We start from the raw sequence: 10,194 nt of genomic DNA, 5'->3' as shown, positions 1-10,194 counted from the left end.
GATCCACACATCCCTTGGGGGCAGACCCAGCGGCGGACGCCTGGACAGGCGGCGGGAAAGGCGCTGCGACGCCCCGGGTGCCCCCTCCTTCGACGCCACTGGCATCACCTCCGAAAGCAGCAGGCACGAAGGTGCCCTGCCACGGGGGCTGGACGCAGTGGAGGCAGGCTCATCAAGCACGACCAGAGCTCAGTCGGCCACACGTCCTCCTCAATGTCACTGTCTCCCTGCTCTCCCACCCCGCGCCGCTGCACCTCCCTCCCCCCGGCAACCTGGGCGGGAGTCCCAAGCTCCGCCCCAGAGCGGACTCACAGCCCCCGCGCTCCCTCCCGCGCTGCGCCCACCGCGCGGCCGCGGCTGCCATGGCAACACTACGCCGCCGCCGCCTTTTCACGCACGTCGCGAGCTAACGGACTCGGCGGCGGCGGCGGCGGCGGCCTGCGCCCCACCCGCACCCCATCTGGACCGCATCGCTGAATGTGCCCGGACCTGCGCCTTCTGGGTAATGAATCCGAGAGAAAGGGGCGAGGGCGAGACAGCAGGTGGTGGAGGGCTCTAGCCAACAGCCCCTCTCGGCCTCCCACTGCCGGAGACGCCAGGGCAGTGGGCTGCGGGGTTCCTCGGGCGCTGGCTCCCGTGCGGGGACGGGGAGGGGCGCGGGAGCGCCAGGCTCGCGGTGCATCATGGGAATTGTAGTTCAGCGACTCCTCGGGCTCGCGGTCTTGGTGGGGTAGCTCGGACTGGCGAACTACAAAGCCCGGCGGCCCCGACCGCCGGGAAAGACCGATAAACTTTGAGCGGACCGGGACAGAAAAAAAAATCTCTCTTTGTCTTGAGGGGGCTGTTGAGTGGTCGCGGACCTGGGCTCTGTGCGTTGGGAAAGGGAAGTGGAGGTGAGCCTCGGGCTTCCCGCCCTGTAGCTGGGCCCGCCCCAGTTGCAGCGCTCAGCCCCACCCCGGCTGGGCCACCGCCCTGCACAGTCTCAGGGATGAGCAGCCGCCCAAGCTGCAGGGCCTCGGGTCTTCGGCGCCTCTGACCCTCGCAGGTTGCTGCCTTTCGGTGCAGAACCGTATGTATGTCACACATTGGATGTGAGACCTGAGAAACCGTGTTTTAACAGGTTTTTCTCCTTTCCTGGATACGTTTATTTCTGGGTTAGTCATGTTTGTTTTAAAGTAGCTCAGAGGTGTTTGCATATTAAACCCATCAATTGGTAATTACTCAAAGGGCAGTAATGTTTAAAGGTTAAGTGTGGAAATAGATAAAAAGATGTCATTGCGATTATATGGTGGTATCTGGCATTTTTAACTTTTTGCATTTTTGAATTTTATTTCTTGAGGTTCAAGGTTGTGAAATGAGTGCTCCACCCCACCCCCCCCTTGCCAGCCTGAACACTGCCTACACATATTTTGATTAGTTCAGCTTTAAATTACTAGTAACTTTTAAAAACAGACTTTTTTAGCAGTAGGCAGCAATAATTCTTTGATTATTCCAGTGTTATTCAGAATTTCTCAGCATGTTTTCGGAAGGAAAAATACCATGTTTTAATTATTTAGTTAATTCTTTATATATTTTTTATGTTCAGGAGTACACTTGAGTCCTTAGAGTTGACTCAAAGACTTGCTGGTAAAGGAAGCTGACACAGATTTACGAAACCTTCCTTGACGACCCTTTAAAATTTTTTAATAGGTAGATAACCATCCTAGAAATTTGCTGCTTTATGGAGTAAGTTGGAGAATTGTTGATATTATTGTGAGTTTGTGTGTGTGTGTGTTTAAAAACAAAAAGACCACAAATCCTATAAAACTTTCTCTTAATTAAAATGAAGTTGACCTGTGTAAATTTTACTTGAGGTTGCAATTTTGTACAAGGAGGAGATGGAAAGTAGGTTTAGTAAGACAGGTAGAAAACAAAATTGAGGCCTTATGTGATACAACATAAGGTTTGAAGTATTTTATTTATTCATTCAAAATGTGTTAGGAACCTATGTGCCAGGCATTATGCCAGGTGGTGAGAATAAAGAGATGAAAAAAGATAGTCTGTATCCTGCATGGGCAGTCTTGTCATCACAGTAGTGTGGTAGAGATAAGTGCAAGTTGCTCTAGGAGCCCAGAGGAAATAATCACATAACAGTAACATTTATTGAATATGTCAGGTGCTGTGAGGAGTATTTTGCATGCAACTCCTTACTTAATCCTCAAAACAGTTGGTGAAGTAGTTACTGATTTTTAGAGATGAGGAAACAGGCTTTAGAGGCCTTGCTCAAAATCATAGCTGGTAACGTGTGAACCTGGGATTTCAGCCCAGGTGGGTCTGGTCCTGATCTCAAGCACTGACCATTCTCTGTCATTTAGTAGAAAGATCCTGACTCTGTCTAAGGAAGTCAGGGGAGGCCTTCAGTGTGATTTGACTTTTAACTTGTGTTAAAATAGTTGAATAAGCTTTCACTGGAGTGATGATGAGGAAAGTCATTCTAGGACAAATGGATGGCACAAAATAAGCAAAGGATAGATTGAAGAATCAGTATTTTGTATTTGGGAAACGCTAGGTAGTTCTGAATGACTGGATCCCAGAATACTTGCAATTAGTGGGTGAGGCCAGATCTTAAAGTACTTGGCACCATATTCAGAGTTTAGAATTTTTCTTGATATAGGGCAGTCATTGAAGAATTTTAGCTAGAGTGGTGGTGGCGTCAGATTTGTATTTTAGAAAGATAACTCCAGCCCCAGTGTAGAGAATGGACCTGGGAGGGGAAACATTACAGGTAGTAGAAAAGCCAGTTGTATAATAGAAAAAAACAAAGTCCAGTAGAGAAGTGAAGAGAGTCTGAATTAAGCATTTGGAGTTACAGAAAGACATGGATTCAAGGAATATTTAAGAGATAAAATTGATATGACTTGATAAGAGTTTGGATGTTGGGAGTTAGATTTGGAACTCTTAGCTGATTGATTCCTCAGTTTCTGGCTAGCATGACTGAGGTAATAGTGAATCCGTTGATTGAGATGAGGAGGAGCTGGTTTTTATTGGGGTGAAATATAAAGATATTAGTTGAGTTTTGAGCATTTGTTAGAGGTTCCTATGGGATATTCAGGTGGAGGTGCATTTTAGTCTGGAGTTCAGAGAGAGCAGGCTGGAGTTAGAAGTTTGCATATAGATAAGTAATTAAAGCTACAAGGGAGAATGGACCAGCTCACATTGGAGTAATGAGTAGAAAAGAAAAAGGAAGAGGTTTGGATATGGAACTCTCATTTAAGAAATGTGTGTAGGCCGGGCGCAGTGGCTCGCGCCTGTAATCCCAGCACTTTGGAAGGCTGAGGCGGGCAGATCAGGAGATCAAGAGATCGAGACCATCCTGGCCAAGATGGTGAAACCTCGTTTCTCCTAAAAATATAAAAATTAGCTAGACATGGTGGCGCACACCTATAGTCCCAGCTACTCAGGAGGCTGAGGCAGGAGAATAGCTTGAACCCAGGAGGCAGAGGTTGCAGTGAGCCAAGATCATGCTGCTGCACTCCAGCCTGGTGACAGAGCGAGACTCCGTGTCAGGAAAAAAAAAAAAAAAAAGAGTTGTGTGTATGTGTTTGCGGGAGGAGCCTACAAATGAGACCCTAGTTAGGAGGCATAGAGGAAGAAGAACTGGGAGAGAGCATAACAAAGGAGGGGAAAATAAGGAAAGAAAGTAAGTTGTCTAATTTTGTGTCTCCAACTTATTTTCTGCATGATCATAGGCAGGTCTCCAAATCTGTACCCTTATTTCATATGAGGTGTTAATACTATTTATTTGATTTTGGGAAGTTGAAACAGTTTAGTGGAGGTAAACCCTAAAGTGCTCAACAACTGAAAGCATTTCTTCTCCCACTTCCTTACTAACAGTGTGGCAGGACTGCCAGTTCTGTCTGATAGAAAGGCCCTGTTCTAGACTTTACTTGACCATATTAAGCAGGTGGATCAGGTAGTAGTTATATTACAAAGTGATGATTAGAGTCTGAGGACTAATCAATTTTTTAAAATGAAGCTTCCGTTAATGCTATAAAATGTTATTGTATAGGGCATTAATACCAATGTACTTTTGCCTTGTTTTCATCTTCAAAGAAACAGGAAGTTCCACTAGATAATATGAGAGCTCAATGGCTCTAAAATTCTTCAATTCTGACAGTATTTAATGTCTGGACTGATTTGTGATTTCACTGATATTTGAGCATCTGTAAATGAAAATATGTTTATATTTTAATGTGCTCAAGAGTATTTCATTTTATTTTTATTTTTTGGAGACAGGGTCTGACTCTGTCACCTAGGCTGGAATGCAATGGTGCAGTCATAGCTCACAGCAGCCTTGAACTCCTGGGCTCAAGCAGCCTTCCTGTCTCAGCCTCCCCAGTGGCTGGGATTTCAGGCATGTGGCCACACCCGGCTCAACATTATTTTAAACATTTTTCTCTTCAGTGATAACTATACTTATATATGGTAGTCCCAGGGAAATTGTGCCCTAGAATACCTGATAAAAGTGAGATATGGGCATTTGCCAGATAAATTCAAGGCATAGATTGTGAGAGTAGTTTAAAAAAAATGGAGTAGTTTTTCAAGGTGGTTTAATCTTCACTGGATGTCTTTAGATATGTTTCTTTTGCTGGGGTATGGTTTGATTGTGGTCCTAACTGAACGGATGGCAAAGGAGTAAATGACCTTTTAAGTCCTTTTGTAACTTTGTTCTGTCCATTAGTAATTGTAAAAGCTCCTATTAGGCAGCCTATTAAAAAGTGAGCTTTGGTTTGAAATCTTATTCTTTTTAATATTTTGCTATGAAGCTGTTTTTAGTGAGCACTTTTTATAGTTTTTAATCATATCTCAGTATTGTTTTGCATTTTGTAAAGAATTTAATGCTTAGTTGCTGATCCCCCAATTGTATTTACTTCCCAGGGTATTATAGAACTCTTTAGAATGGTTATTTTGTGGACATTTATCAAACACATGTGCCTTGCATTTGAGTTCAAGAAACATTATTGTGTGTCTTTATGTCAAACAGTGCACCAAATGATACATGATACATGAATAAGATCTGGCCCCTCTCTCAAAGGATGTTACATTTCAGTCAGTGCTCAAACTAGTTTTGGTATACTCACTCTTGTGTTTTTTAAGGAAATCATCTCCAAAAAACAATGTATTTTATTTCTTATTTTCTTAGCTTTTACGTGTTTGAGGGACAAACAATATAACTTCATTTGCTGTATTTCAATAAGTTGTTCCTTTATTCTCGTTTATTCCTGTCTCTGTGAGTGTCTTTATATGTCAGTATTCTTTTCTTTCTGATGTTTTACTCTTTCCATTTTTCCTGGTGATTTGGCAGTAGGAAGAGAAATGAATGAGAGAATCAGTAGTGACTGTTTTTTTTTTCTGACCTACTTCTGTGAGAGTATGGATGACTGGTATTTAACACATAATTCCTGATATTTTTATACTTGTATTTTCTCTGCATTATTAGATATTATTTGAAGTCAAGAATTTTATGTTAGTGAACTCCACGTGGCCTTACATTGTTTCTTATATGTATATAGGTTATTTGCTTAATGTGGTAGGTGCTTACTAATTAGTTTAGATTGAATGATGAATGGATGAGTAAGTAAATATGATTATAAAATTACTTGTTCAAAGACTACTTGAGTCTGGGTGTGGTGGCTCTTGCTTGTTATCCCAGCACTTTGGGAGGCTGAGAGGGGCAGAAAGCTTGAGTCCAGGAGTTTGAGACAAGTTGCCTGGGCAACATGGCGAGACATCATCTCTGCAAAAAATACAAAAATTAGCCAGGCGTGGCTGCGCACACCCGTGGTCCCAGCTACTCAGGAGGCTGAGGTGGGAGGATTGGTTGAGACTGGGAGGTCCAGGTTGCAGTGAGCTGAGATTGCACCATTGCACTCCAGGCTGGGCGACAGAGTGAGACCTTGCCTCAAAAATAAATAAATACATACATACATACTTCATAAAATACAGTAATATGAAGCAGATGGTTTTGAAAGGTTTTAGGCTGTTCAAAGCACTATGAAATTAAAAAACAAGTAGTATTTAATTATATAGGCAACCACAACAAAATATCTTTATTTCTGTTAATAAGCCTTTTATATTTATTTTTAGATTAGCTGCGTAACTTTAAAGGAATTTGAGGCAGTAAATTGTAATGAGCCAGGAGGACAGGCTCTGAGTTAGACACATCTGGGTTCAAATCCAGGCTCTATGGGCAAATTATTTAAATTCTTTAAAGCCTCAGTCACCTCCTCTGCTAAATGGTGGGTAACTGTTACTGTTTTGTAGTGTTATAAGGATTAGATGAGATAATGCCTAGAAAAACATTTTTATCGTATTACTTGGTGGGGAGTTAGCATTCAATAAACATCGCTACTATTATTTTTGTGCTAAAAAGGGTATTTATGCAATTAGATAAAGTTTATAGGGTTTTTTTTGTTTGTTTTTTTCAGACAGAGTCTCACTCTTGTCGCCCAGGTTGGAGTGCAGTGGCGCCATCTCGGCTCACTGCAACCTCCGTCTCCTGGGTTCAAGCTTCTGCCGCCTCAGCCTCCTGAGTAGCTGGGACCACAGGCACTCGCTACCACGCCCCGCTAATTTTTGTACTTTTTTAGTAGAGACGGGGTTTTGCCATGTTGGCCAGGCTGGTCTTGAACTCCTGACCTCAGGAGATCCGCCTGTCTAGGCCTCCCAAAGTGCTGGGATTACAGGCGTGAGCCACCATGCCTGGCCAAGTTTATAGTTTAAGCTGTCATCTTGAGACACAGTAACAGATGATCCACATTTTCTGTCCTTTGTAATATTTTAAAGCTGCCAGTAGAATTTAGAACATGAGCAGAAATTACTGTGATGGTTACTTTTGAGAAACGTTTAAGCTCTTAGAACCCTATATTAGTATCTAGATTCTTTTATGTTTATGAACAGTTTTTTTTTGTTTCTAAAATATTTGAGAAGTGATTTGTATACATGTAAAAAATAAATGAAAAGCCTTAATTACTACATACATTCTTCTGTAATGTCTGGGTTTGTGGTTGTTTTCTTTATTATTCATGGCAAACTGTAGTCCTTGAGACTATTACCCAAAATAAAGAGATGGGAGGTATTGTGGTTTTCAAAATTAACTATTTGGTTGATTAGTACTCACATAGTAGGTTCATTTATTGTGCTTGAAACATACTTCAGGATGCATTAATTTGAGAAGTCATGGTTATGTGTTTCCTTAATTGCTTTTATTTATAGCAGCCATTGTATGACATAAACTGGACTTCGGTGATTTGGAGAAACTTTTTTTTTTTTCATTAAGCATGTAAAGCCTGGACATATTGATAAAATTCATTGTGGTACAAAATATTGAAAATAAAACTTGATTTGTTGTTTTGCTTACCACTGTTCTAATTAGTGTTATTTAGTTCACATTGCTATAGTTCAGGTTACTTAGGTGTTTCTGAAATAGGCATCTACTTTCAGGAATTTACAACTTTTAGGAGGAAAAGGAACAATAGGAGAAAAATATGGAAGTGTCAGAATAAAAATAGTTTAAAGCAGAAATTATTTTCTTAGCCTCATATGTATTGTAAGTATAACTGAATTAGATTGACATCATTCACATAAAATTAGTTTAAAAAATGTTTTGTTTCCTCTTCAAAAACCATTACTGTGGAGACAAAAGAATGATAAATATTATGATTTCATTTGTAAAAGGAATTATGAGTGACATCCCTGGTGGGATTGGGTTCTGGATACAAGCTAGCTTTTCATTTTTTCAATTATATGTCTTAGTCTTGGCATGAGATAAAAAATTCAAGTATGTTGGGAGAGAATGTGTGTGTGTGTGTGTTGTGGGTGATGGTAGATTTAAAGGAGAGAACAGAAAGGTTGGAGATGTAGCTGAAAAGATGGCTTTATGTGTTACATTTAGATCTGAGTCATGAAACAGTTACAAAAATAATTATCTGGAACCAGATAAAGCAGTATTCCTTCTTGATCTGAGCATGAACTTGGACTGAGCTCTTCTCAGTCTGAGCCTAGAACTCTCCTTGAAGGTATTATCTGGAGCATTCTGTATAGGGCAACTTTGCTGGGTCAGTTCAGCAGTAAATACTGTAAGAAGATGCTTAATTTATTTTTGAATACATAATCTCAAAATAAGAGACATTGTCAAATATTAGACATTGCTAAAATATTTTGTCTTTAGATTTAACCTGACATTTTAAAAAGACCTAGAAATTCTTCTAATTTATATTAAAGGAGATTTAAAAAACTATGTTTCAAGATTATGACTAAAAATAATTTTAGTATAGCTTCTAGAAATTTATAATGAAAATTGAATCAGTTGATTTCTTTTTTTCAGAGGAAAAATTAACTGCTTCAGTTATCTGCATTGATGTTGAGTGTAGAGTAAAAATATTCCTTATATTGATTCAGTGTTGTATGTGAGGAATGATGTTAACATATGATCACATTTAATTTTTAAAATAACCTTATGATAAATATTATTTTTCCTATTTTGTAGACAGAATTGAGGCTTATTGAAATTATATGATTTGCCTGAGGTCACAACTAAAAATTTATGGTGCCTGGATTCATATCCAGGCTTTTCTGTCTGAAATTTTTATGTGGCCTTTATCAAACATAAACTTGAATGGTTTGGTATACAATTCTAGGTTGCCAACCCCCTACACCCTTACCCCTTGGAAGATATTATTTCATTGTCTCCAGGCTCCCACTGTTCCTCTTGAAAAGTTAGCTGTCAATATAATTTCTTTCCTTTGTATATAATTTGTCATTTCTTTCTGTTTTAAATGTTCTTCAGTCTTACTACCTTGTCTCTAGGTGTGAACTTTGATTTGCTTTGAAACTGAAAATTATTGTCTTCTGTTAGTTTTGGAAAATTCTCAGCCACTGTATTTTTGAATTTTGCCTTTCTTTTTTCTCCTGGAATTCATAATAGACATACATGATGGATCTTCTCTTTCTACTCTGTTGCATTTCTTAATCTTATTTACTTATTCTCTATATGCTGCATTCTGGTCAGTTTCTGCAGCTCTGTCTTCTGGTTTATTGATTCTCCTTTTATCTGTGTCTAATCTCTTGCTTCCTCAGTCCACTGAGTTTTGTTTTTATTTCAGTGACTATATATTTTAATGCCAGAAGTTCTTTTTGATTATTTTTCAAATAAGCTTATTTATTTTAAAATTTCTTGTCCCTATGTCTTTAAATGTACTTATTTTACAGTAGCTAAAAAGGCCTTAATTTTGCTTTATGTTGTATTAATTCTCCCTCATAGTGGATTGCTTTCTTTGTATCTTGTAATTTTAGATGTAAACTCAGTGGAAATAAAGTAAAGCCTGGGTAAATGATATGTCCTGTACTTTTGTGATTTGTTTCTGTGAAGTGCGCTATGGAGAACTGATGAGTGAATAAACAAATTTTAGTATGTCTATATAATGGGATACTACTCAGCAATAAAAAGTAATTACTGATACATATAAGGGCATAGTTGAATCTCAAAAGCATTATTCTAAATGAAGGAAATCAGAGTATATACCATATGAGTTTATTTATTTTGCATTCTAGAACTGACAAAACTGCAGGCATACTTGAGAGATACTGTGGGCTTTGTTTCAGACCATTTTGGTAAAGCAAATATTGCGATAAAGCTAGTCACACAAATTTTCTGGTTTCCCAGTGCATATAAAAGTTACGTTTACACTATACTATAGTTTATTAAGTGTGCAATAACATTACGTCTAAAAAATGTACATGTCTCAATTTAAAAATACTTTAAAAATTTTTAACTTTTATTTTAGATTTAGGGGGTACATCTGCACGTTTGTTACATGGGTATATTGCATGATGCTGAGGTTTGGGATATGAATGATCCCGTCACCCAGAGAGTGAGTGTAGTAGCCAAAAGATAGTTTTCCAACTCTTGCCTGCCTCCCTCCCACCTCTATTAGTTTCCAGTGTCTGTTGTTGCCATCTTTATGTCTAGGAGTATCCAATGTTTAGCTCCCACTTATATGTAAGAATATGTAGTACTTGGTTTTCTGTTCCTGCATTTATTTGTTAAGGATAATGGCCTCCAGCTACATCCATGTTGCTGCAAAGGGCATGATTTTGTTCTTTTTTAAGACCATATAGTATTCCATGGTATATATGTACCACGTTTTCTTTATC

General features: G+C 39.3%; 1 protein-coding gene across 5 annotated transcripts in view, besides 2 other annotated features; it reads left to right on the top strand.

Moving 5' to 3' along the window:
- Positions 278-507: a silencer, noted in NCBI's record as "silent region_5229". NCBI's record gives its function as "represses an Ori minimal core promoter by ATAC-STARR-seq in GM12878 lymphoblastoid cells {active_cell/tissue: GM12878}" and the evidence as "EXISTENCE:reporter gene assay evidence [ECO:0000049][PMID:35858748]".
- The window catches only part of KATNAL1 (katanin catalytic subunit A1 like 1), a 104,922-nt gene continuing 95,009 nt past the window's right edge, over positions 282-10,194 (top strand). The window contains exon 1 of one of the 5 annotated variants that reach the window (NM_032116.5): positions 282-502. The gene's annotated coding sequence lies outside the window, so the exon portion shown is untranslated. Of the gene's footprint in view, positions 503-821; positions 894-976; positions 1,155-10,194 lie in introns of those variants that run through there. The other 4 variants (NM_001014380.3, XM_024449424.2, XM_005266574.4 and 1 more) reach the window with 4 other exon arrangements.
- Positions 538-647: a silencer, noted in NCBI's record as "silent region_5228". NCBI's record gives its function as "represses an Ori minimal core promoter by ATAC-STARR-seq in GM12878 lymphoblastoid cells {active_cell/tissue: GM12878}" and the evidence as "EXISTENCE:reporter gene assay evidence [ECO:0000049][PMID:35858748]".

This window comes from Homo sapiens, chromosome 13, assembly GCF_000001405.40.
Source record: "Homo sapiens chromosome 13, GRCh38.p14 Primary Assembly".
Lineage (NCBI taxonomy): Eukaryota > Metazoa > Chordata > Mammalia > Primates > Hominidae > Homo > Homo sapiens.
Note: the sequence above shows the minus strand (reverse complement) of the source record. Positions and strands in the feature narration are given on the sequence as shown.